General features: G+C 43.1%; 1 protein-coding gene and 2 long non-coding RNA genes across 9 annotated transcripts in view; 2 read left to right on the top strand and 1 right to left on the bottom strand.

Moving 5' to 3' along the window:
- Positions 1-1,570: 1,570 nt before the first annotated feature.
- LOC105370397 (uncharacterized) lies at positions 1,571-20,024 on the bottom strand. Of its 2 annotated transcripts, none has more exons than XR_007064063.1 (4): positions 19,931-20,024; positions 19,652-19,774; positions 18,686-18,744; positions 1,571-1,633 (listed from the first exon to the last, which is right to left on the bottom strand). It is a non-coding gene; the product is annotated as an uncharacterized LOC105370397 (long non-coding RNA). The 2 variants fall into 2 exon arrangements; XR_007064062.1 differs by lacking the exon at positions 1,571-1,633 and adding an exon at positions 11,810-11,885.
- RNASE1 (ribonuclease A family member 1, pancreatic) lies at positions 8,628-10,244 on the top strand. Of its 4 annotated transcripts, none has more exons than NM_198234.3 (3): positions 8,628-8,675; positions 9,153-9,223; positions 9,379-10,244. In NM_198234.3, exon 3 carries the CDS (start codon positions 9,404-9,406, stop codon positions 9,872-9,874), a length of 471 nt encoding a protein of 156 aa, NP_937877.1. In that variant the 5' UTR covers positions 8,628-8,675; positions 9,153-9,223; positions 9,379-9,403; the 3' UTR covers positions 9,875-10,244. The 4 variants fall into 4 exon arrangements, with proteins under 4 accessions (NP_937877.1, NP_937878.1, NP_002924.1 ...); NM_198235.3 differs by having other exon boundaries at positions 9,141-9,223; NM_002933.5 differs by lacking the exon at positions 9,153-9,223.
- LOC107984671 (uncharacterized) overlaps positions 10,943-27,375 on the top strand; it is a 74,578-nt gene continuing 58,145 nt past the window's right edge. For all 3 annotated transcript variants that reach the window (XR_001750624.2, XR_001750623.2, XR_001750622.2), the window contains exon 1: positions 10,943-11,568. This is a non-coding gene — a long non-coding RNA (uncharacterized LOC107984671). The remainder of the gene's footprint in view (positions 11,569-27,375) is intronic.

Here is a 27,375-nt window from a genome sequence, read left to right as displayed (position 1 = left end):
GCTAATTTTTGTATTTTTGGTAGAGACGGGGGTTTCACCATGTTGGCCAGGCTGGTCTTGAACTCCTGACCTCATGATCTGCCCACCTCAGCCTCCCAAAGTGCTGGGATTACAGGCGTGAGCCACCGTGCCTGGCCCTGACTGGGTTCTAAATGATTCTGGATTCTTAAGAATAAAAGACAGACAGACAGACAGTCTCTGTATAGATGTGTGGAAGAAGCCAGACAGGGAAGGAGCTCAGGAAGGAGAGGCTGAGAACTGAAGACGAAGCACAGCTTTTCTGAAGCTGCATTCCTGCCCCTCACATACCTTCAAACGCCCTCAGACTCAGACATACTTCCTCAGACATGGCTGAGAATGAACTCTTAAATGTATCTGTCCCAAATTCTTTAATGTCTGAGGCCACTGAGAGACAGAAGAGAGAAAGAGTCCCCAGACGGAGGGAACTTAAGATGGAGGTCTCTGACTCTGCCACTTCCACTGTAGCCTCTTGCCCAGTTCTGCTCCTTGATCCATCATAGGTCAGCATTAGCCAGTAAGTGGCCTAAGCGCACACGATTCAGGGAAGAGGACTCTGCAGGCCAGAAATGAGCTTCCTACAAAAGAGGAAGAGTTGGTTGGGTGTGATGGCTCACACCTGTAATCCCAGCACTTTGGGAGGCCAAGGCGGGCGGATCGCTTGAGGTCGGGAGTTCAAGACGAGCTGGGCCAACATGGCGAAACCCCATCTCTACTAAAAAGAAAACCCCACAAAAATTAGCCAGGCATGGTGGCAGGTGCCTGTAATCTCAGCTACTCAGGAGGCTGAGGCAGGAGAATTGCTTGAACCCGGGAGGCAGACGTTTCAGTGAGCTGAGATGGGCAACAGCTGTCTCAAAAATAAAAAATAAAAAAATAAAAAATAAAGGGAATGAGTTGAGGGATGTCATCTTGGCTGTTATCCTACTTTATCTTCATGGGCATCTGGGTTGTAGGCAATGGGTGAGAGGCGTGGGACAGCACGGGCTTCGGATCTTTTTTAGCTGGTTCTTGCATTCTTTCCCCTCACTTCCTTCAACTTTCAAACACCACTCCGCTCCCTTTGTCTGCCCCCACTGTTCCGTCTTTTCCTGTTCTAATTTTCCTTTGCCTTCTCACTTTCTGGGGTTCAAAAGGAATCCCGGAATATCATCTATTGTATGTGTGTGTGCATATTGTATGTACGTGCATGCAGGGTGTGTGTGTGCTCGTACATGTGTATTTGGGGGGCTGTGCTGAGCTTTTGTAGCCAGCCTAATGATAGGACATCCTTCAGATTATCTGAGCTTTTCTTGTAAAAACGTCCTTACCCTGTACATACCCACTTCCTTATTCTTCTAAAGAGCTTGTGGAAATGAGCACAGCCACCCAAATGAGAATAAGCAAAGGCTGTTTATTCAGAGTTGGCCACAGATGGCAGGTAACCACCATCACTTGCATTTGGCAGACACTCACAGTAGGCAGGAGAGTGGGAATCTTCACAATGGAAAACAGGAAAGGCTTCAGGGATGCTCTGGTTGCAGGCTGCGGCATGCAGAAGCTGTAAGTGGGCTACTGGAAGCAGGGCATCCTATGTGTTGGATTAGGGATGCATATTGGCTTTCTCTGATTGGTCCTAATTTGGGGAAGCGGAAATAAATATTAGGGAACTTTTCAGTTATTAATCAAGTCCATAAAGAGAGACTTTCAAGCAAGGAAAAAATTAAGAAATAAAATAGGGGTAATCAAGTCCTAGCTGTTTGGGGCCAATTGCTATAGGAGTTGTTTGGCTTCCTGGATTGTTTGCTGTATATAGTGGGTTGGCTTCTCATACTTATTGCTGGAGACTACAGGTCAGAGTTCCATCTTTATATATGGTCTGGTCATTGTTCATTTGTATGGTCAGTCTTTCAGTCCCTCCTTTTGGTCATTCTCTGACTTCTGAGAAGTTGACCAACTCAGAGAAAGTTAGAATTTCACATCTTCACCAATCATAAATTGTTCAGTCATCTTCATAGTGACCTGGATTGTAAGATCTTCTTGATCTTTCTATTGTATCATTATGGCAATCATCTGATGACAGAGTGGCTGCTAGAAGCATTTAAAACTCTGGATAAAACGGAACAGACTAGCATCATGACCACTATCAGAAAAATAAGAAACAATTGATAGTCCCTCTGAGATGCTTTAGAACCAGGAACTCCAATTGCTTAACCTAGGCCAAGAAAACAAATCCCATAAGCCATGAGGACCTTAGAGATCCAAATATTAATAGGTTTTTTTTTGAAGCAATATAGTCTTTTTTTTTTTTAACCTTGCCTGTGTCCTTGACCTAAGTATCACAAGAAGCACTGGCAATGGTGCAGACAAAATCGAAGTGGCCTTCCAACTGTGTGGAATTTTGAATCTCTTCTTCAGTTGTGAAACATGAACCCAAAGGTTGGCTCCTTGGAGTTTCACTGCTGTATCTATTGTTAACAGTATCTGATAAGATCTCTTCCTTTTGAATGAAGTTCAAAAGCAGTTATTCTCTGATTTTTCTTCCAGTAGACAAATCCACTAGTTGAGGATCATGGAGAGGTTGTTTAGGAAGATTTTGTAGGAAGGGGACCTTAACCTGTTGGTGATAGGACCACGTACAATACATGAGTCCCTTGCAGTATCTTGTCATGTCTGCATGGAGTAGGACAGACTCTAGTATTGGAGGTGAAATCTCTAAATGCATGGACCTTCCCGGTATCAACTCATAGGGGGATAACCTATGTGTCTCCAAGAAAGTGGCCTGTATATCCGTAAAGGATAGTGGATATACTCTTGGTCAAGGGAGCTCAAGGGTTTCTGAAATTGTTGCTTATTTTAATGTAAGGATGCCATGGGTCGTTTTTGTGGGTGGTAAGGATGGTGTAGTTTTTGAGTAAGAGTTCTTTTATAAAGGTCGCCTTAAAGTGTGTGCCTCAGTCACTTGATATAAAAGGTGGGATGCCCCAGATTGAAAACATAAAATCAAGCAGCTTGTTCACGGCTGTAAGGGCTGTAGCATTTTGGCAAAGAAATTCTTCAACTCATCCTGAAAACAGACATACAATATCTAAAACATATTCAAATCCCAGGGAGAGTGAAAGCCGGTGAAGTGTCTTGTGAAATAAAATTTAAGCAAGGCCATTGATTTGGACTGGGCTCCTGCACTAAGCCTAACAGATCAAACAGATACGGTGTGTTGTTTGATCTGTTAGGCTTAGTTGTTTACAGGCTTACAATATGTTGCAGCTGAGCTTTAACTAATTGCAGGAGACTCTGTAACCAATTAACCAATTAAGCTGCCTCTGTACCATGCTTCTTTTGTCTCCTATAAATGCTATCAGATTATGTCATTGGTTGGAGTTCTCTGAATTTCCTCTAGTTCCAAATCGTGCCTGATTTTTGAACTGCTTTTTTTTGTTTTGTTTTTGCTTTGTTTGCTTTGTTTTGTTCTGCTTTTCTTTGCTCAAATAAACTCAGCTAAAATGTACACTTGTCTAAGGTTTTATTCCATGTAACAGTCCGAAGGTGTCCAAAGAGGCTTTGGTTTCTGGCCATGTCCCAACTTTACAGTTTTTCCAGAGTTATATTTTTGACAGGTGACACATGACCCAAAAGTAAGCTCAGTTGCCTTTTCAAAGTTTTCCTACCAATGTTTACTTAAGATAGTAACCAATTTGTCTATGCCATAATGGGTGTTTCATGGAGAAATCCAGATAATGTAGGGGAGGAAATATCTTTCTTATTTGTCTTAAGTTCTAAGGCGGGGCTCTGTAACAGAAGGCAGATTAAAAAGTGAAAAGCATACACATTTATTTAATGTAAGTTTTACATGGCATGGAAGCCTTCTGGAAATGAACCAGTCTGAGTGGATGCTTATATACTAAGTTAGACAAAGAACAGTAAATTGTGAAAACAAGTCAAAGGGATATGGGCTAGGGCTGTTAATCGTGGAGAAGTGGCTAGGGAGATAAGGGCTAGTTTAACAAGGTTTATTTGTAGTTTTCTCTCAACCTCAGCTGCCCCCATCTCTGGTAATAAGAATGTCTTCCTTCTTCCACGGAGGGTCCCTGCTACGTGGGAGCATTGTCTCCTGCTTTTAGAAAGATCAGAGTGCCCTTCTTGCATCTGCTGTTTTTCAAGAGCTTTTAATTCAAAATAATCCATATGCCAGAAAGGCATATTTTGGGGTGGTATGTTTTGAACTCCTTTAGAAATATCTACTTGAGATCATCTGGTGTCACCAAGCAGCACCAGGAATTATCTGAGTGAAGAGTACAACTAGATGTTTTCCATTCTTTTTCAAAATCAGGGGCTAAATGTCAATATTTTATAATGGCCTCTTTGAATCCCCCAGAGATTTATCCTTTAAAGGTATAGATAGAGTCATAAGCTTGGTTAAAGTAGCTTCTTTGGCATAATGATCTGCTAGAGAATTTCCTTTAGTTTCCATATTGTCTCTTTTTATATGGACCTCTACCTATATAATAGCCACTTCTCTAGGAAGTGGGGGTGCATCTGAAAGTTCCTTAACTTGCTGTCCATTTCTAATGCCTATTTTCTTTTCTTTTCTTTTCTTTTTGAGACGGAGTTTTTGCTCTTGTTGCCCAGGCTGGAGTACAATGGCACGATCTCGGCTCACCGCAACCTCTGCCTCCTGGGTTCAAGCGATTCTCCTGCCTCAGCCTTCCTGAGTGGCTGGGATTACAGGCATGTGCCACCATGCCCGGCTAATTTTGTATGTTTAATAGAGACAGGGTTTCTCCATGCTGGTCAGGTTGGTCTCGAACTCCCAACCTCAGGTGATCCACCCGCCTCAGCCTCCCAAAGTGCTGGGATTACAGGTACGAGCCACCATGCCTGGTCTTCTAATGCCTATTTTCAAAGCATCTCAAAATCATATGCTATTTCAAAAGCATACCTGCAGTCTGTATATATGTTTGCTCTCTGGTCTTTGTTTAGGTGACAAATTCTAGTAAATGCAATACATTTTGCTATCTGGGCTGATTTTACTGCAGGTAGTAGACTTTTTCTTAAGAAGAGTTTAAAATAGGGGTAGCATAGCCTATTAATAATGTAGGGAACCAGAATATGCCAGCTCAATAATTTTGAGTTGATTATTTTGAAAAACAGTAAATGCAGGAAAAACTCAAAAAACAGGGCTCATCATTTCCACAGCTGCCTCTCCCCTCTTCCTTCCCTGCTGTGAAAGAACTATAAATGTCCTTTTTTTTTTTTTAAACAGTGTCTCTCTCTGTCACCCAGGCTGGAGTACAGTGGTACAATCACGACTCACTGCAGCCTCCATCTCCAGTGTTCTTCCACCTCATCCCCCTGAGTAGCTGAGACTACAGGAGCATGCCACCATGCATGGCTAGTTTTGTATATTTTGTAGAAAAAGGGTTTCGCCACCTTGCCCAGGCTGGTCTCAAACTCCTAAACTCAAGCAATCTGCCTGCCTTGGCCTCCCACAGGGCTGGGATTACAGGAGTGAGCCACTATGCCTAGCCAAGTTTCCCTTTTGTAAGAGAAATTTCCATTTATATTCCCATTTGTATGGATGTCTCCCTTTCCTGTGCCAGGAAGAGGAGGACTTAATCACGGAGGACTTATCAATGGAGAAGACAACCAACTTGAATTTGCTTAACAAACTTTACTAAACAACCCTTATATACTATACATTTCCTAGTCCGCTTGTCGCAACCTCCCCAGAAGCTCAAAATCCCTTTCCTATGTGCAGAGACAAAAGTGACTCCATCTTGAATGCTAATCTACCATGTTGACGTCTGATTAACCATGTCCCGGGAATGCCTCCTGATTTCTACTTTATTTACTGTCTCTAGTGTAGAAACATGTATTCACTATAAATCCTGCCTTTAGATCAAAACAACCTTAACGTTATCATGCAAATTATGGGCTATGACAAACACAGCATTCTTGCCTGTTCTGAAGAGTTGCCTTTCATTGTCTCTATATAGCACGTACCCCTTTTCCCTATGGTATATAAGCTCTGGGTCTGGGGAATAACAGTGCTGAGATTTACATGTCTTGCTGCTGCCCAAGACGACACTTCTGGCTATAAGTTCCCCAATAGAATAAAACACGCTTTACTGACAAACTGAATTTGTCTGCCTTTCTTTAGTTTCTAGGCTCCTTCAGCATTTGGGGCCACTTCACATATGTGGCCCTTTCATGGAACACTGTCTTGTCACTTCTGCACAATTTTCTTTGTCAAAATGGCCTATAAACTCTCAGGTTTAATTGCTTCTTTGAGTCTTCACTTCTTTTTTTATGAAGACTTCCATATTCATGTAGAATATTAATATTAAATTAAATTTTTATGCCTTTTCTCCTGTTAAATCTGTCTTTTGTCATTTTAATTTACAGGGCCCCCAGCCCTCTAGGAGGGTAAAGGAAGAATTGATTTTTCTTTCCTCAGTGTACTAACTTCAAGTTTCAATTCTGGGGTATGTTCCATCAATAAATCATATTAGGTCCGGGTTCTCAATAGGAGTTGCTAATAAATCTGACTGACATGCAGAATGTTTCCTACTGAGGTAAGACAATCAAGAGGCTCCCCTTCTGGTAGGGACAGAGGGTGGCAGAATTCAGTGTGTTGCAGAGATGAGTAGTAATTTATGAGAGGGAGAGAGGGATAGAATCTTATAAGAGGTTAATCGGCTGCCTGAAGTGTGCAGTGAGTTCTCAGTCAGGTGTAATGCCTGTGCTGCGTGAGAAACCAGGAGGTCAAGCAGGGAGTCTAGAACAAGTTCAGCAGAAGCAACAACAAATGTTGCCATGGCATCTACTGCCCTAAGACAAGCGGGGCTATGCCTCTGCAACTGGGTCAAGGATAAGGCTGCAGTAAGGGCTTCTGATGGTTCCCCATTGAAGTGCAATTAAAGCTCCAAGGGCTTGTCTAGATTGCTATGCATAAATAGACAAAATGGCTTCCTGTAGTTTCAGGATTCCTAGGGCCAGGGGCTGTTGAAGAGCCTTATTATAGTTACAGAAGATCTGTTCACATCTGAACTGTGGTTCTGAAATCATCTTGCTGGGTGGAGGCCACTTTTGTGCAGCCACGCCCAGTGCCTTAGTGGGGTCCACCTGACTAACCAAACCATCCCACCAGGCGCCCTTCAGGTGAGTCCTGTGCCTTATTTATGTCTGTATCCCACAGTCTAATGAATGAATGAACACATTCTAACTTGACTATTCAAGAGAATAAAAGTATTATTAAAGACTCAGAAAAATAAAATACAGGTGGGGGCTGGGGGAGTAAGGAAACTGTAGGGGCCAAGGAAAAATTCCCCTTTCACCCTCCAAAGGTTTGCTGAAAATCAACTGACAAAAGACAGATTGATAGGAAAAAACGCATACAAATTGATTTGATCGTAGTTTTACACGACACGGGAGCCTTCAGAAGACCCAAAGATAACAGGGGAAAGTGGGCATTCTTACACTTGGATATCAACAAAGTATGAACAGCTGTGTAGAAATATGACTGGACAACAGGGCGATCTAATGAAAATAGACTGAGTGGGGAAACCCAGCAAGGCCTCCCTGTCTAGATTCTTCTTGGCCTCTCTGAGCATTCGTCCTTTTTTTCTGGGTATGGGGGGCAGGACCCTCTCTGGAATGAGGATCTTACGACCTACAATCACACAAGGTAGGTCAGATAATTTCACTATGGCCACTTTTTACACAGAAAGGCTGAAACAATCTGAATACACAGCACGAAGGGATATTTTGATAATTCTTAGAGGTATCCAAATTGTTACTCAGCAAAAAAACAGGTCTCTTTCTAGGAGGGCATTCTGCTGCTAATAAATATGATATTCTTTGTATTTTTTCCCCAAAAAGAATTTGAGATTTGGGATTTAAGTTTATCTTTAGTTCCTCTACTCAATTCCGACCTACAGGGTCAGTGGTTACTGTAGATAAGAACAGCCCCATCCTCTCGATGCCCCCAGAGCAGGGGTGGAGGGTGGGTGGGAAGTGGCCAGAACTGGGTGAGCGCACCCTAGAGGCCTCCTCCTCCTCCCTATTCAGTTACTCCCCCTTTCTTCTCCAGATCTGGGAAGCCTTCCAGCTGGGGGCAGCAGGACAGCCTCCATTCCCCCCGACCCCGCCTCCCATCCCCGGGAGAGGTAGCGTTGGGAGAATGCCCTCCTAGAAAGAGACTTGGGTTTTGCTCCCTAGGAGCCCTGGAATAGCTTTGGCCAGAATTCCCTATCTCCCATTAGAACCTCTCCTTTGCGTCCTTTGTTAACCTCCAAGTCTACTTGGTGAAAACGCCCACGAAGAAGTAACAAGGACTTTGTTCCTAGTGTGCCAGGTTTGGGCACCAGTGCTGTAGTGGCTTTCTCTGCTGCTCCTTGTGCATCAGCAGACAGATGTGGTTCACATAGGAAGAAAGACTAACGTAGGCAAAGATTTGCTCTTTCTTCAGCAGCCCTAGAAAGACGGCGGCCTGGGTGATTCACCACTCCTTCCTCACGTCCTTGATTTTATTTGAACTGAGCTCCAGATGCTCCTCCCACCCTTTTCCTCTTGGAAGCCAAACCCCTTTGTAATCTGTATAAGGTCCACACCCCGGGAGCTGAGTGATTGCAGAAACTGGCCTTCCATCTCTCTCAGACACCAAGCTGCAGATCCAGGTAAGCAGCCCAAGAGGTGTTCTCAGGTGCCGCTTCTGCTTCAGGGTTGCAGAAGAGGGAGCTAGGGCCAGTCCACAGCACTGAGAAAGATTGGGTGATGCTAGCGCTGAAAAAATGTGGCCCAGGCAAACATCAGCTGGGGGCAGAGGGGTCAGGGTGGAACGTGCAGGCTGCAGAGCATCCATGGGACTGGAGAAGAAGGAGCCTCCAAATTGGGGGAGGCCAGCGTTTCTCTCTGGAATACAATGGAATCTTTTATGATGCCAGTGTCAGGCACTGGCCTGAGTTCCCTTATGCTCCAAGACAACAAGGCTCTGTCACCCATGGCCCTGGATGTCGGGGATACAATTTGGTTCATGATTTATTCAAACTGATGTTTCGATGAGCCATTTGAGCACTGGGTACAAATGTATTTTGGATCAAAGAAACTCCAGTATTCAAAGATAGGAACTGACAGGATTTTAGGTCACTTTGTAGGTCACCACCTAGAGGGGAGGAAGACCTCGCTTTGGAGAGTGGGAATAAAACGCTCGTGGAAAAGGGTACACGTGAGTGTCTCATTACACGAAAAACCTCAGGAAGTAGGATGGACGTCTTTCTGGCTGACCTGAAACAGAAAGTGTAAACCAGGCAAGCCATAGGTGGGAGCTGGAGTTCTTTTTCTAAGAGGGCTCTTTTCCTTCTCTCTCCTTTTCTCAATTAGGCTTTTCTGGGAAAGTGAGGCCACCATGGCTCTGGAGAAGTCTCTTGTCCGGCTCCTTCTGCTTGTCCTGATACTGCTGGTGCTGGGCTGGGTCCAGCCTTCCCTGGGCAAGGAATCCCGGGCCAAGAAATTCCAGCGGCAGCATATGGACTCAGACAGTTCCCCCAGCAGCAGCTCCACCTACTGTAACCAAATGATGAGGCGCCGGAATATGACACAGGGGCGGTGCAAACCAGTGAACACCTTTGTGCACGAGCCCCTGGTAGATGTCCAGAATGTCTGTTTCCAGGAAAAGGTCACCTGCAAGAACGGGCAGGGCAACTGCTACAAGAGCAACTCCAGCATGCACATCACAGACTGCCGCCTGACAAACGGCTCCAGGTACCCCAACTGTGCATACCGGACCAGCCCGAAGGAGAGACACATCATTGTGGCCTGTGAAGGGAGCCCATATGTGCCAGTCCACTTTGATGCTTCTGTGGAGGACTCTACCTAAGGTCAGAGCAGCGAGATACCCCACCTCCCTCAACCTCATCCTCTCCACAGCTGCCTCTTCCCTCTTCCTTCCCTGCTGTGAAAGAAGTAACTACAGTTAGGGCTCCTATTCAACACACACATGCTTCCCTTTCCTGAGTCCCATCCCTGCGTGATTTTGGGGGTGAAGAGTGGGTTGTGAGGTGGGCCCCATGTTAACCCCTCCACTCTTTCTTTCAATAAAACGCAGTTGCAAACACCTGATTTCTGAAGCGGTTCTGTCTAGGTACTGTTTCTGGCATTGCCTTCCAGCAAGGGGTAAGAACTGTAAATCTGATTCACTTTGGAGAACGGTGAATGGAGTAATTAAATGCCTTCCCTTCTGACTTGGATTTTAGTGGCTTGAGAAAATTCCTTTCCTTGTAGATTCCCTGATGCCAAACATAAAACTGTTAAGTGTGGGCTGTTTTAGACAAAAGGGAGCTACAGCCTGGGACACTGCCATGCAGGGTGAACTGACAGAGGGGTGAAGCTCAAATACAATCATTCTCTGGCACAGAAGGAAGGCAAGTGTGACCTCAGGAAGATCCTGCTTAGCCTCAGGGTGGGGAAGAGGACTCAATGAAATTATGATCCTAAATTTCCATTTTCCTTTTTTTTTTTTGAGTGAGCTATTACTAAATCAGAAAAATGGGCACCTCTTAGTTGGAAAGCCAGAACCTTACATTTTAGAGCCAGAAGTGACTTTGGAGAGCACGGAATTGAGGGATAGCAAGTAGATTTCAGTTTGTGTACCAACTCTAATTGGAAGTGCCGGTCGGGCGTGGTGGCTCACACCTATAATTCCAGCACTTTGGGAGGTTGAGGCAGGTGGATCACCTGAGGTCAGGAGTTCAAGACCAGCCTGACCAGTATGGTGAAACCCCCTCTCTACTAAAAATACAAAAAGTAGTGGGGCGTGGTGGCAGGTGCCTGTAATCCAGCTACTAGGGAGGCTGAGGCAGGAGAATCACTTGAACCTGGGAGGCGGAGGTTGCAGTGAGCTGAGATGGTGCCACTTCACTCCAGCCTGGGCAATAAGAGTGAAACTCTGTTTCAAAAAAAAAAAAAAGGAAGTGCCTACCCAAAATGCTGTAGCAAAAAATTCTGGACAGTGGTGTGGTTGAACAACAGCCTCTATCGAAGGCACGAGAGGGGGAAGGGTGTGTGTGCCACACATTTGCCATCCCTGACCAAATGTGACCCCTGCCTTTCCGGTGACTTGCACATGGCTTGTTGCTAGTTAGTGGCACAGCCGGGACTACACCCTAGGTTTCCTGACTTCCAAGCCATTGTTCTAACTCAGGAAGCCATTGCTCTAACTCAGGAAGAAAGCTCCCCTCCTCAGTAAGTGCTGTGGAGCGGTAGCTCTCTCCCAGAGCTTGCTGGTGGGCTCTCACAGGCTCCCAGTGTTCTTAGCCTGTGAGTCCACTCCACTCTTGGCAACCCTTCCTGACAGCCACTGAAAGACTACCTTTGGCATCTGTCAACACTTAACCTGGGAGGCAGAGGTTGCAGTGAGCCGACATCGCGCCACTGCATTCCAGCCTGAGTGACAGAGCAAGATTCCATCTCACAGGGTGGGGGGTGGGGAAGCTTGCCATATAAAGAATACTTTCTGCAGGGCCTGTGCGGAGATCCACTGTCTTGTGGCTGCCTGAGACATGGCTTCTATTTGTAAGTCCCTATTAAATGTTTCTTTCTGAGAAACTGAACTTGTCATGAAGTGGGATTTAAGGAACCAGAGAGACCAGATGGCGTGCAGGAGGGTGTTTATTTTAAGGTGTACACTGGCCCAGCGGACTTGTGTCCTAAAAGGCTGAGCCCAAGAACAAAGAAAATGAGTCCCTTTTAAGCATTTTGAGGCAGGAACTAAGTGAAGCAGGCTTACAGAAGTGAGAACAAAAGGCCGCTGTGACACTTTTGGAACATGTCTTACATCTCTGTGAGAACTTGGTTTGCAGCTTATGCTTATCTGTCTTGTGACCTTGCAGCTGTGCAGGGAAGAAAGAAACAGGAGTTTACAGAGCCTACAAAATATGTGGAGGATAGATATGGTTAACGTTTCTTGGGACAGACAGTTAATATTCTCTTCTAACTTTAACTTCAGGGGGGCTACTTAAATTCTTTTCAGCCTTGGTTAATACAGCAATTCATTCTATGAGCTATTGTTATTTCTCTTATTATTATTACGTATGCTATTATTTGTTATTTTCTTAGTTTCCTACTTCAGTCAAGCCCTTTCTTTGGCCTCTCATCTCCCTCAGCCCTTGGGGGTACATTGGCATAGACCTGCTCACTGCAGAACAAGGAAGGAGGAAGCAGGAGAAACCAAACCTGCCATACCGTGTTCTTGAACTTCTGGCCTCCAGTGAGAAAATGAATTTCTGGCTGGGCATGCTGCCTCACGCCTGTAACCCCAGCACTTTGGGAGGCTGAGGCAGGAGGATTGCTTGAGCTCAGGAGTTCAAGAGCAGCCTGGGCAACATAGTGAGACCCCCGTCTCTACAAAAAAATATTAAAAAATTAGCCAGGCAAGGTTGCAAACACCTATAGTCCCAGCTACTCGGGAGGCTGAGATGGAGGATCACTTGAGCCTTGGGGGTCGAGGCTGCGCTCCAGCCTGGGCAACAATGAGACCCTGTCTCAAAATTTTAAAAAATAAATAAATAAATAAATGCATTTCTATCGTTTGAGCCGCCCATTTTGTTATGGCAGCCCTAGGAAATGAATACACCCTTTAACCAATTCTTCCACTTCTCTTGGATTGCATCCGTAGCTGCCCTGACACATCCCTATGGCGGGCTGGTCTAAATTAGATGCCACGGTGGTGGGGATGGGGTGGCTGTGGGGTGAATAGAAGTGTCTGTGGGGACAAATGAACATCTACTTCTTCCTGGGACAGCTGGATGGAGTGGAGGGACTTTAGAAACCGTTAACAGGTCTTAGGGAACTGGCCCTGCGTCCCTTCTGAGGCTGCTGTAAGGGGAAAAGAAAAAGTAGGGGCATGAAAGCCCTTGGCAAGATGTGAAGCGAGGCAGCCTTCGTGCATGCTTGGTCAGTTGTGTACCTCCAGCTAGTTAGTGTGCAACAGCCCTCACGCTTCCTCTGCAACTTCTCCCCTGCCATCAGCTGAGCTTTCATGTTCTCAGTTCATGTTCTCGGTTCATGAGTGTTCATGTTCTCAGTTACTCTTGGAATATGGTTCAATTCAGAAATTCCCAATGCACTATTAATGAACATAGAGAGACGGATATACTATTCTACCAAAAAAAAAATCTGCCCTTTTAAAATCCAGGGAATGTCTGGACATACACATTCTTAAGTCAAAGGAACATTTTTCTAGCATTTGTGAAAGAAGGAGTGAATGAATGGAGGTTGGAAGGAGTGCAGTAGTTACAAAGATTGGCTTATTTTTTATGGGTCTAGCCTGGATTTTAAAAACCTGAGACAGGATAACAACTCCAAGTGCCTGTGGGACTTCTGTAAAATGGAAATATTCATAACACTTAATTAGAAGTACTGTGGTAAAGATGACATTCAGAGAAAGCGTAGTGTTCAGCGTTCTGTGGACACTCAGAAAGTTAGCCACTATCACCGAGGCATGGGGTATGGTGTTTCAGAGCCTTGGCTCTGGAGTGAAACAGACCTGTTTCACACTCCACTGTGCCTTTTGGGAGTAGTGTGGCCGCAGGCAGGGAACGTAACTTTTTTAACATCAGGTTCCCTATGTAAAATATCATGATAAACATGGTATCAACTTCAGAGATTTGTTGAGGATTAGTTGAGGTCACATATAAAAAATATTTAGGACAATGTCTGTCCATAATAAAAGCTATTACTCTTAGAATCAAGAATCATACATCCTATTCTATCACTTGCATGCAACCAATCAAGACTGGGGACAGAATTGACAATGTCTCACTACAGTTTTCTGTATTTATAATTCAAGGTGCCAACATATGATTTTTGTTTGTTTGAGGGCCTCAGATGAAAGAGGGGCCAGGAACATTAGTACTGGAACTCACAGGAGTATGAATTCTATCATCCCAAGAGAGGGGATAACCAGAGATCTAGAAAGCACAGAAGATCAGGCAGAGACAGTAGAAAGGCCTAAACTTGATTTCAAGAACCGACTCTCAAAAGAGTGAGTATAAAACCAGTGTATACACCAAGTACAGTCATGTGTTGCTGAATGATGGGGATACAATGTGTCATTGAGTGACTTCATCATTGTTGGGAACCTTACAGACTATATTACCTAAAACTAGGCAGTATAGCTTGCTCTACATCTAGGCTATATGGTATAACCTATTGCTCCTAGGTTACAAACCTGTTCAGCAGTTTACTGTACTGAATACTATAGGCAATTGTAACACAATGGTAAATATTTGTGTACATAAACATAGATAAGTTACAGTAAAAATATGGTATAAAAGGTAAGAAATGGTACACCTCTGTAAGACACTTATGTGTGGAGCTTATAGAATTAGAAGCTACGGCCAGGTGCAGTGGCTCACGCCTGTAATCCCAGCACTTTGGGAGGCCGAGGCGGGTGGATCATGAGGTCAGGAGTTCGAAACCAGCCTGGACAACATGGCAAAACCCCGTCTCTACTAAAAATACAAAAATTAGCCAGGCATGGTGGCATGTGCCTGTAATCCCAGCTACTCAGGAGGCTGGGGCAGGAGAATCACTTGAACCTGGGAGGCAGAGGTTGCAGTGAGCCGAGATCGTGCCACTGCACTCCAGCCTGGGTGACAGAGCAAGATTCGGTCTCAAAAAAAAAAAAAAAAATTAAAAGTTGCTCTGGGTGAGTCAGTGGGTGAGTGGTGAGTGATTGTGCAGGCCTAGGACATTGCTGTGCACTACTGTAGACTTTATAAACACTGTATCATTAGGGCACACTGAACTTATGAAAAAATTTTCTTTCTTCAATAATAAATTAACCTTAGCTTACTTTAACTTTTAAACTTTATACATTTTTAAATAAAAAAAATTTTGACTCTTTTATAATAACACGTAGCTTAAAACACATTATACAGCTGTACAAAAATGTTTTCTTTGTATCCTTATTCTATAGCTTTTTTCTTCTTCTTCTTTTTTTTTTTTTTGAGACAGGATCTCGCTCTCTTGCCCAGGCTGGAGAGCAGTGGCACAATCTTGGCTCACGGCAACCTCTGCCTCCCCACCTCAGCCTCCTGAGTAGCTGGAACTACAGGCATGTGTCACCATGCCAGCTAAGTTTTGTATATTTTGTAGAGACAGGGTCTCACCATGTTGCTCAGGCTTATCTGTTTTTTTTTTCTATTTAAAAAAATTTTTAAACTTTTTTGTTAAAACTAAGATACAGGCTGGGTATGGTGGCTCACACCTGTAATCCCAGCACTTTGGGAGGCCGAGGCAGGTGGATCACCTGAGGTCAGGAGCTTGAGACCAGCCTGACCAACATGGCAAAACCCCGTCTTTATTAAAAATACAAAAATTAGCTGGGCGTGGTGGCACATGCCTGTAATCTCAGTTACTTGGGAGGCTGAGGCAGGAGAATTGCTTGAACCCAGGAGGCAGAGGTTGCAGTGAGCTGAGATTGCGCCATTGCCACTATATATATATGTATATATATATTATATATATACACATATATGTATGTATGTGTGTATGTGTGTATATGTGTGTGTATATATATACACACACATATATAAATTATATATATTATATTATATATATTATATTATATATGTGTGTGTATATATACACACGTGTATATATATACACACGTGAGTATATATACACGTGCGTATATATACACATGAAATGTAACATAACATTTTCTTTTTTTTTTTTGAGTTGCTCTGTCTCTCAGGCTGGGGTGCAGTGGCATGATGTTGGCTCACTGTAACCTCCACCTCCTGGATTCAAGAGATTCTCCTGCCTCAGCCTCCTGAGTAGCTGGGACTACAGGCACACACCACTATGCCCAGCTAATTTTTGTGGTTTTAGTAGAGATGGAGTTTCACCAAGTTGGCCAGGCTGGTCTCAAACTCCTGACCTCAGGTGATCCACCCGCCTTAGCCTCCCAAAATGCTGGGATTATAGGTGCGAAGTACTGCGCCCAGCCTAACATAACATTTTCTAAGTAACATTTGGGTCAAAGAAGAAATCAAAAGAAAAAAATTAAAATATATACAATATATAAAAAATTGGGTGATGATAAGAAAGTACAATTAAGAGAAAGTTTTGTGAAAGTTGTCAGAATCAAAACGGAGTCACTAATGTTAAAGAAACCCTGACAAGCCTGGGTGCAGTGGCTCACGCCTGTAATCTAAACACTTTGGGTGGCCAAGGTGGGCGGATCACTTGAGGCCAGGAGTTCCACACCAGCCTAGACAAAATGGTGAAACCCCGTCTCTACTAAAAAAAAAAAAAAAAAAAAAAAAAATTAGCTGGGTTTGGTGGCACAGCTGTAATCCCAGCCACTTGGGAAGCTGAGGCACAAGAATCACTTAAACCCAGGAGGCAGAGATTGCAGTGAGTCAAGATTGCACAGCTGCACTCCAGCCCGGGTGACAGAGTGAGACTCTATCTCAGAAAAACAAACAAACAACAACAACAACAAAAATCCTGACAATAGAGCTGGGGAAAGCTAAGAAGGGAGAATTCTTATGCTTGTATGCCTGATAACTATCACAAAAGACCTCAAAAACCACCATCTTGCATAAAGGCCATTGCAACATCATCTAAAAATATTTCTGCAAGGATTTTTACTCAACAACTGCCTATCCAACCTCAAATTGGTGTCATCCTTGTTAGTGATCTTTGTAGCCAAGGATAATCATTTCAAAACAATTTTGTAATCCTCTTCGTTTTTCTTTTGAAAACCTTTGTCTCCCTTTACCTCCCTGAATATGCACATAGTTTACTATGGCACGTGTATTCCCATTGCAATACTTTATTCCCAAATAAATACCTTTTTCTTTTAAAGACCCTCTCTCTGTTTGTTACTTAGGTTAAAAGGTTTTATCGCTAAATACCTATATTAGAAAAGTGGAAGAATCTCAAATTATGATCTTAGGATCCTCCTTAAGAAAATAGAAAAAGATAAAATTTAACCCAAAGGAAGCAGAAAGAAATCAATAAAGGTCAGGGCAGAAATCAATGAAATAAAAAACAGAAAAATGAGAGAGGAATTTAATAAAACCAAATCCTGTTTCGTTGAGAAGATCAACAACATTGCTAAACCTCTCATTAAGCTGAGGAGGAGAAAAGATGTCACAAACAACCAATATCAGAAATGAGAGATGACTTCCTCAGAGATTACACAGATAGCAAAAAGATAATAGGAGAATATGATGAACAACTTTATGTCAATAAATTTAAAAACTTCAATAAAATGGAAAAGTAATTAAGAGACACAAATTTCCAAAGCTCACTTAAAAAATAGGTAACCTGAATAGCCATAGATCTATTTAAGCAATTAAATTTGCAGTTAAAAACCTTTCCACAAAGAAAACTTTATGCTTGACTGGTGAAGTTTATTAAACATTTAAGAAAGCCATGTTAATTCTATACAAACTACTCCAGAAGAAAAGGTTTTCCAACTAATTCTCCGATGTCATTCAAGACAAATTATCCAGAGACATTTAGAAGAAAACTACAGACCAATAGTTCTCATAAATGTAACTCTAAACAAAATTTTAGCAGTTTGAACCTAACAATGTATAAAAAGAATAATATATCACTACCAAGTGGGGTTTATTCCAGGAACAAATGTTGATGTAATTTTTCATGTCAATCAATATAATTCATCATACTAACAAACTTAAAAAAAAACCATTTGATGTTCTCAGCAGACACATAAAGAGCATTTGACAAAACCCCACATTCATTTCTGATAAAAGCTGTCAGCACACTAATAATGGAAGGGAAATTCTCAACCTTTAGGGTATTTGCTATGGGCTAAATGTTTATATCATTCCAAAGTTTACATATGTAAACTCTGACCCCCAGTGTGTTAATACTTGGAGATGGGGCCTTTGGGCAGTAATTAGGTCATAAGAATAGAGCTCTCCTCATGAGATTAGTGCCCTGATAAAAAGAGACATGAGGGAGAAGACCATTATCCCTCTGAAATGTGAGGAGAGAGCAAGGTGTCCCACTGCAAACCAGGGAGTGGGTCTTCACCAGGAGCCAAACTGGCTGATGTCTTGATCTTGAACTTCATAGCCTTCAGGACTTTGAGAAATAAATGTTTGTTGTCTAAACCACCCAGTCTATGGTATTTTTGTTACAGCAGCCTGAACTGAATAAGACATCATCTACAGAAACCCTACAGTTAACATTATACTCAATCTTTGTTTTCCTATCAGACCCCTAAGGAGCTGTCTTAGTCTAGTTCATGCTACTATAACAGGATGCTGGCCAGGTGCAGTGGCTCACGCCTGTAATCCCAGCACTTTGGGAGGCCGAGGCGGGCGGATCACCTGAGGTTGGGAGTTTGAGACCAGCCTGACCGACATGGAGAAACCCTGTCTCTACTAAAAAACAAAATTAGCCGGGCGAGGTGGTGCATGCCTGTGATCCCAGCTACTGGGGAGGCTGAGACAGGAGAATCGCTTGAACCCAGGAAGTGGAGGTTGCGGTGAGCTGAGATCGTGCCATTGCACTCCAGCCTGGGTAACAAGAGTGAAACTCTGTCTCAAAACAAAACAAAACAAAACAAAACAAAACAAAACAAAACAAAAACAGGAAGCCACAAACTGAGTAATTAATAATAAACAGAACTTTATTGACTCACAGTTCTGGATGCTGGGAAGTCCAACATCAAAGTGCCAGCATCTAGCACGGGCCTTCTTGCTGCATCATCGCATGGTGGAAGGGCAAAGGGAGAGCAAGAGAGAGATAAAAGGGGGCTGAACTTGTCCTTTTGTAAAGAACCCACTCCTGCAATAATAGCATTAATCTATTCAGGGCTGAGCCCTCATGGCCTAATCACCTCTTAAAGATCCCACCTCTTAATACTTTTACACTGGCAATTACCTTTCAACATGAACTGGGGAGTGGACAAATACATAGGAGGAGACCTTTTAGATATTTTTCTTCCTAACCACTCCACCCGTCCTATGAAATTAAATACTATGAAATGAGTTTTGTTGAGTAGGGTTGATTTTGAAGGACGACAAACCATTGTAATATCTATGATTTTTTTACCCCTCAAGAAATAATTTTTTTTTTTAAGACAGATCTCACTCTGTTGCCCAGCTTGGAGGGCAGTGATGCGATCTCCGCTCACTGCAACCTCCGTCTCCTGGATTCAGGCAATTCTCCTATCTCAGCCTTCTGAGTAGCTGGGATTACAGGTGCCCGCCAGCATACTTGGCTCATTTTTGTATTTTTAGTAGAGACGGGGTTTCACAATGTTTGCCAGGCTGGTCTTGAACTCATGACCTCAGATGATCTGCCCGCCTCGGCCTCCCAAAGTGTTGTGATTACAGGCACGAGTCACTGTGCCTGGCCAAAAAATAATTTTTGCCCTCTCAGGGGCACTATCGCTTCCATAGAAAAAGCCTGTACTAAATAATCCTCAAACCCCACCTCCAAGGAGATTTTCTTGTTTATTTTGACTACATATCTTCACCACAAAATAGTCAACTGCTTCCTTTTGCCAACAGGAGAAATTTTGAATGCCTGGGCCTAATAATTAATGATACTGTTTGAAAGAGAAGTCAAGTTAAAAATACATCAGTTACGTTTTGCAAAATACCTCATCAATTCTCCACAAAGTTGTCACGGTCATCAAAAAAAGTTTAGTTTGAGAAACTGTCATAGCCAAAGAAGCCTAAGGAAACATCACAATTAAATGTAATGTGGTGTCCTGAATAGAATTCTGGAGCAGAAAAAAGACATTAGGTAAAAACTAAGGAAATCTGAATAAAGTAAGGACTCTAGTTAATAACAATAATTTAAAGAAACCACCCAAACCCTCCCCCTCCTCACTTTGTCCTTGGTAGTGAACCCTCCGGGACTTTCTCAGGGAGCGCACCTTTGATTAAAATCGTAGCTGGAACACAGCATTAGTGGGATTCCGACACCTTGAGCAAGACCCTGTCCTGAGACCTTGGCTTAACTTATCAACTGCAACTGTTGTTAAGTGCTATAAAACATGACCACGAGAAGAAGAAGAAAAAAGAACATTTCCGCATTTGTGGTGAAAACTGTAAGTGGGACCATAGGCAGTTATGTTGCTGAATGTTTCCCTTCCAAGATTTGTGTGAGAGATTTTTCTTCGTTGGCACTTTTTGTTATAAATGAAGGAAAAGTCTGAGTTTTTAATTCAACTAGATCTGATTTCAAATCACAGGTAGACCCTTTACTAATTTTGTTATTTGGGGAAGATTCTGAACCTCAGTTTCTTCACCTATGAACTGATAATAATAACTGCCTTGAAATGGTATTGATTCTTCACATATCAAATTGAAATGGGAAAAGTTCCCTTATCCCCCTCCCAGGGCTCACTTCTTTGGTACCCTGCTGCTCATACCCTAGGAGGAGCATGCAGACGGGCAGGTTGTGGGGCTCTGACCCCACAGCAGTGTCTAGGGTTCAGTGTTTACAGCTCTTGAGGCCCCAGTGTGCATGTGTTGCAGTGCATTCTTTCAGTTTAGCCATCCACAGGTGGCTTGTGTTAATGAGCTCAATTAGATCCTCTGCCTTATCTCAAGGACAGAAGGCTTTCAGTATCCTGGGGTTCTTGTCTTAGTGTACTGGAAAAATTGGATCACGTGTGGGCTTGGAGGATGGGTGCAAGGTTTTTTGTTGAGTGGTGGTAGCTCTCAGCAGATGAATGGGGAGCCAGAAGAGGGAAGGAGTGGGAAGCTGGTTTTCCCCTGGAGTCAGGCTGCCCAGCACCAAATTCCCCTCGGCGTCCACGTCGTTCCACCGGTGGATGGCATGCCAGCATCTGCTGGTGTTTGTCGGTGTGTTCTCCTGCCAGCATGCTCCTCTCGACATCTAGCAGCTCGTGTGTTCTTCCAGTGGTGTGATCCTCTCGACGTCCAGCCACTTCTGTCTGTGCCCACTAGGGTCTCGAGGTTTTTATAGGCACAGGATGGGGACATGGTGGGCCAGGGTGGTCTTGGAAAATGCAACATTTGGGCACAAAAACAAATGCCTGTCCTCACCTCGGTGGGTGGGCACAGGCCCGGAGGTGGAGCCCTAGCCAGGGACCCACCCTTCTCTACCCAGCACTTCCTTGCCCCCTCCTGTCTCAGAGTCAAGTGGCATCATTTCTTCAGGGAAGTCATTCCAGACCCTCTAAACTTACTCATATTCCTTCTTGATGGTCTCATAACTTTGTATACACTTTCTTTCTAGAATTGACTCAAATTGAGTGATTATTGGGTTAATATCTATTTCCCCTACTAGACCCCAAATTCCATGAAAACAAAGACCATGACTCTTTGTCCATCATTATATCAGTAGCTCTCAATGCAGCCTGGTCACATAGTAAATTTTTGAATGAATAAATGAATAATGATTAAATGATATACAGAGAATCTACAGCTGTCTTAAAAACACTGGGCTGCCTTGAGACATCCTACTGATTAAAGAGAACCAAGTATGTTATGGCTTGTTTCTTGAGAGGGCTGTCAACTAGCTCGGGAACAACTCTGATATAAATTATGTAGTGGCAATCTGAGTGACCCATAAAGGGCAAATATTTGATGAAAGACAAAAATAAAGTAGTAAGTGGAATAAAATATAATTCTTTAAAAAAGTGTTGTTATATAATTTGTAAGCTTCTTTGGGCCTTAATGTAAAAGAGAAAGGGAAAGGGCTTTGTGTCTGAATTCAAGCTCTGCCAATTATAAGTGCCACTTATAAATATGACCTCATTTAAATGCCTTCATCTCCTGAAGACTATTCAATATTTACAAAATGAAGATAAGTATGCTCATTAAAGTTAATGTGTAGATTAAGGAAATCAAGTTACGTAAACCACTTAGAATAGAGTTGAGCAAACAGTGGCACTTACTAATTCCTACATTCAGCAAATATTGCTTAAAAACCTACTAGTGGCAGGCATTGTGCTAGAAACTGAGGATTTGCTGTTGCTGTTGTTTTTGGAACTGAGGATGTAATGACACTGATAACATCTGTGGTCGTTGCTGTTTTTTCCTACAGAACAATAATGGAATAATGGTGGGCTATTTTTTTTCTTTTTAAAAAAACACTGTGCTATTTCATAGCCATCAGATTGGCAAAAATGTAGGAGTATAACCATGTCGTGTTTTGCTACAGATAGAATATAGAAAAAGAAAATCTCATATACCATAGTTTCTGAATATGAAATTGTACAATCAATGCTTCAGTTGCTGTACCGGTGTAACAAATTAATCCAAAACTTGGTAACATAAAACAATCATTTATTATGCTCCCAGTGGGTCAGAAATTCAGATAAATCACAGCGGGGGCAGCTTGACTCTGTTTCAATGACTGGGACCGCAACTGGAAGACTCAAAGGCTGGGAGCTGCAATCATTTGAGGGTTCACTCACCCACATGTTGGGTGGTTGACGCTGGCTGAAACTTTAACTAGGCCTGTTGACTGAAATATCTATAGAAGGCCTCTCCAGGTAGCATAGAAGTTCTCACAGTGTGGAGATTGGGTCCAAGGGTGAGTGTCCCACGACAGAGAGGGTAAGCCAAAGCAGAAGCTGTAGCACCTTTGATGATCTAGTCTTGAAGGTCAGGCAGTGTCACTTTCACTGCATTCTAGTCATTAGAAGTGAGTTCTCAAGACTAACTCATACTCAAGGAATGGGAACATAGAGCCTATTTTAGACAGAGGGGAGCCAATGTTACAATGTAAAAAGAACATGTAGAATGGGATGTGTTGGCATGGACATTTTGTTTTTGTTTTTGAGACAGAATCTTGCTCTATCACCCAGGTTGGAGTGCAGTGGTGCAATCTCGGCTCACTGCAGCCTCCACCTCCCAGGTTCAAGTGATTCTCCTGCCTCAGCCTCCCAAGTAGCAGGGACTACAGGTGTGTGCCAACATGCCCGGTAAATTTTTGTATTTTTAGTAGAGATGGGGTTTCACCATGTTAGCCATGGTCTCAAACTCCTGACCTCAAGTGATCCGCCCACCTCAGCCTCCCAAAGTGCTGGAATTACAGGTGTGAGCCACTGTGCCTGGCTGTGTGGACATTTTGGAAAATACAATTGGCCACAACTAGTTTGAAGAAAATATGGCAATATTTGGTAAAATTGGACATGAATATGGCTTAGCAATTCCACATCTGGGCATATATTAGTGAAAATTTACCACATGTGCACACGGAGAAATGTACAAAGATACTCATTGCAACATTGCTTGTTAGAGTGAAAATTTGGAAACATCCTAAATATCCACCAGAAGACAGATAAATAAATGGTGGTATACTAATACAGAGGGGAAAATAATGAATCAATAAAAATAAAGGAACAACAAATACACATTTTAATATTGATGAGTCTTGGAAACACTGTTGGGTGAAAAAAACTAGTTGCAGAATGATACGTACCTTATGATAGTATTTATACAAATGTATTAAAATTGCACACTGAAACACTATATTTTGCTTATGAATGTATTATACTTAAAGAGTACAAAAAAAGGACTGAATATACCCCAAATGTATGATTTCATCTGAGAAGAGTTTTTTTTTGTTTTATTGTTTTTTTTTTTTTGCGACGGAGTCTCGTTCTGTCGCCCAGGCTGGAGTGCAGTGGCGCGATCTCGGCTCACTGCAAGCTCCGCCTCCCGGGTTCACGCCATTCTCCTGCCTCAGCCTCCCGAGTAGCTGGGAATACAGGCGCCCGCCATCACACCTGGCTTATTTTTTGTATTTTTAGTAGAGACGGGGTTTCACCGTGTTAGCCAGGATGGTCTCGATCTCCTGACCTCATGATCTACCCGCCTCGGCCTCCCAAAGTGCTGGGATTACAGGCGTGAGCCACCGCGCCCGGCTGAGAAGAGTTAAGAAGAATTACCAGAAAGGAATAAAATGGACCCCAATGTTTTTATATTTTATTTATTTTAAAATTTTAAGCAAATGAAACACTTAATATTTATTTCTTTTGCATGCCACTAGTATATTGTATTTATCTGGATTGTTTAATTTTTGAAAAGTAAATAATCCCATTAAAAATGAAGTGAACTCATGAGAGAGAGCAAGGGAAAAACTTGACGAAATCCATCAAGTATGAAGAGCCCCCAAAGACTTCCCATCCCCACGAGCTTCTGCTTCTCCTCCTTGCGAAGCTCTTTGGCTCTGCTATTGCCACCCCTACACCTGGGTTTTTGTGGGGTTTTTTGCAATCTTGACTCAAATGTGGACAAACACTTTCTTGTTTTTATTAGCACTGTCTAGATAAAATGGCATTTTCAAAAATAACTTTACAAATTAAAAAGATGACTTGAAGAAATATTCACAGTATCAAAAGAATCAATAAAATCAGTTTTAGATTGTATAATTTCTTTTCAGACGAAATTAATTAAAATATCCACCTAACTCACTAAGTACAGCTGTAAAAGTGGTTTAATGTTTTTACTGGTCCCACATCCTCCTGTCTTAAAATAAACTTTCCTCTATTCCTCAAGAGTACATTGTTATTCAATTTCTGTTTCCACACTGTGTGGTTAAAGAAAAAGTATTGAATTGTCTATCTAGCCCCTTTTCTCTGGGAACTATGACATCTCTAACCAGGGCTAACTCACCTGGAACCAGTCCTGGCCCCAAGACAACACTACAGACATGAGTCCTGAAGCTCCTTAGGGCTTCCTGTGCTGGAAGGAAGGGTTGAGGGTGGGAGAAAGCCCCAAAGGAGAGAAAGAGAATAGGATCCCATGCGGATCTCAGGCCAGGCACTACCAGCCTGGGCTGACTGCAGCCACTGATGAGAGACTTAGAAAATGTTGAGAAGGGTATTCCAAGATGCAACGGGGTGCCTGAGGAACAGGCGAGGCCAGAGACCCCATTTGGCCAGCCTTAAGGGCAGTTCTCTCTAAGCCTCTCTTCTGCATGGTCCACAAGAAAGGCTCCTGGAAGCTATTTTTTGCAATGTGATTCTGTCCGATGGTCATGTCTGATCTATGGATGGGATCAGTCAGAATCCCTTCAAAAATAAATAATATTTCAGAGAAAATTAGAAAGTGAGATGGAAAGGGATGACTGTCTACTTACTGTGTGAAAAAGAAAAGCAGAGGAAATGAGTACATTGCAGAAAAAGACTGAAACAGGGCACAGAAAGGAATATTAAGAATTCATTACGGTCGGGCGCGGTGGCTCACTCCTGGAATCCCAGCACTTTGGAAGGTCGAGGCGGGCGGATCACGAGGTCAGGAGATCGAGACGATCCTGGCCAACATGGTGAAACCCGGTCCCTACTAAAAATACAAAAAATTAGCCGGGCGTGGTGGCGGGCGCCTGTAGTCCCAGCTACTGGGGAGGCTGAGGCAGGAGAATGGCGGGAACCCGGGAGGCGGAGCTTGCAGTGAGCCCAGATCGCGCCACTGCACTCCAGCCTGGGCGACAGAGCGAGACTCCGTCTCAAAAAAAAAAAAAAAAAAAAAAAAAAAAAAAAAAATCATTACTTTCCTGAGGCCCCAGTTCAAAATTCTCAGCCTGCCAGGTGTCGTCCTTCCTACTGAATTCCAGCCACCTGCCTCAGCCACAGCCAAAGGACAAGATCCATTGAATAGTCTAGAAGACCAGGAATCAACACACTTTGTTCTATAAAGGACCAGACAGTAAATATTTCACTTTTGTGGAACACATAGGGTCTGTGTCACTTCCTCTCCTTCTTCTTCCTCTTCTTCCCCTTCCTTCCCCTCCCTCACGTCTCTACTCCTTCCTTCTTCCTGTTCTTCCCCCCCTCCTCTTCCTCCTCCTTTTTCTTCTCCCCCTAAAAAAGTAAAAATCGGCCAAGCACGGTGGCTCACGCCTGTAATCCCAGCACTTTGGGAGGCCGAGGCGGGTGGATCACGAAGTCAGGAGATCAAGACCACGGTGAAACCCCGTCTCTACTAAAAATACAGAAAATTAGCCGGGCGTGGTGGCGGGCGCCTGTAGTCCCAGATACTCGGGAGGCTGAGGCAGGAGAATGGCGTGAACCCGGCAGGCAGAGCTTGCAGTGAACTGAGATCGCGCCACTGCACTCCAACCTGGGCGACAGAATGAGACTCCGTCTCAAAAAACAAACAAACAAACAAACAAACAAACAAACAAATTAGCTGGGCGTGGTGGCGGGTAATCCCAGCTACTCAGGCGGCTGAGGCAGGAGAATCGCTTGAATCCAGGAGGTGGAGGTTGCAGTGAGCCGAGATCCAGCCATTGCACTCCAGCCTGGGCGGCAGAGCCAAACTCCATCTCAAAAAAAAAAATAAAAGTAAAAACCACACTACTCCAGGCAGTATAAAATAGGCGCGGCAGGCCAGAGGTCTGCAGATGTAGTTTGCTTACCCCTGCATCAACAGTTGTTACCAATATTTGCTGCCCATTACAATTACATGGGGATCTTTAACAAACATCCATTAGAGCCCAGGTCTCACCCCCAGATATTCATTTAATTGTTCATTAAATGTTCATAAAATTTATTTAGTAGATCCCGTCATTGGTATTTTTCTAAAAGCTCCCAGGTGAATCTAATATGAAGCCAGAGTTGAGAGCTGCTAGAACATCTGCTGAATTCACTTCTAAGCTTTGCCTGCTTTGGGATCATTCTGTATATTCTAGGGATATATCTAAGTGAACTTCTTAGCAATTATGTATTGAACTTCTGCAATACATAACTGCATGTAGAAAAGAAAATAAATCTATGAGAGATTCCATCCCAGTCTATTCCACTTGTTTAGAACTAATACCTTCTAAAAGTTTGGGCATAATAGATTGTTGAAAAGTTACCCTCATTGTTGCCTTTTCCTTGATCAGCAACAAAAAGTGACTCTAATTGTTGTTGGGGATAGGTTTGTCATGGGAGGGTGGGGAAGATTAGATATTGTTGCTGCAAATCTCTTCAAAAGATGGCACTCATTATATTTTTGTTTTTAACCATTTGTTACAAAATATTTGCAGTATTTTAGACCTCACAATTTATTTCACTAATTTTAAGTAACATTTCATGTTCCCTAATGTTTCTGACAGTTGAAAAATTTTTGCAGCACAGATGTATTCAATCCATGAGATACCTTTACTATATAAATAACAATAGCATGAGCAATTGAGTTGTTTGGTTTTACTAGATTACCTTTAAGAATCTCTGGCAATTTCCAGGTAATGTTCATATAAATCCATTCAACCCCTTTCCTTTCAGATGCTGCTACTTTCGTATACTTGTTCATACCAAACGTGAGCACAGATTCTCCCTGCCATTCCACCACACTTTACATGAAGACTCTGAGACAATAAAATGTAAATGCAACATGGCTTAAAGCTGAATACAAC

Source organism: Homo sapiens, chromosome 14 (assembly GCF_000001405.40).
Source record: "Homo sapiens chromosome 14, GRCh38.p14 Primary Assembly".
NCBI classification, from domain to species: domain Eukaryota; kingdom Metazoa; phylum Chordata; class Mammalia; order Primates; family Hominidae; genus Homo; species Homo sapiens.
The sequence above is the reverse complement of the archived record's forward strand: the minus strand, read 5'-3'. Positions and strand labels throughout refer to the sequence as shown.

What these genes read in the sequence shown, in the direction of transcription:
- RNASE1 (NM_002933.5), top strand. Translation starts at nt 9,404, where the DNA reads ATGGCTCTGGAGAAGTCTCTTGTCCGGCTCCTTCTGCTTGTCCTGATA.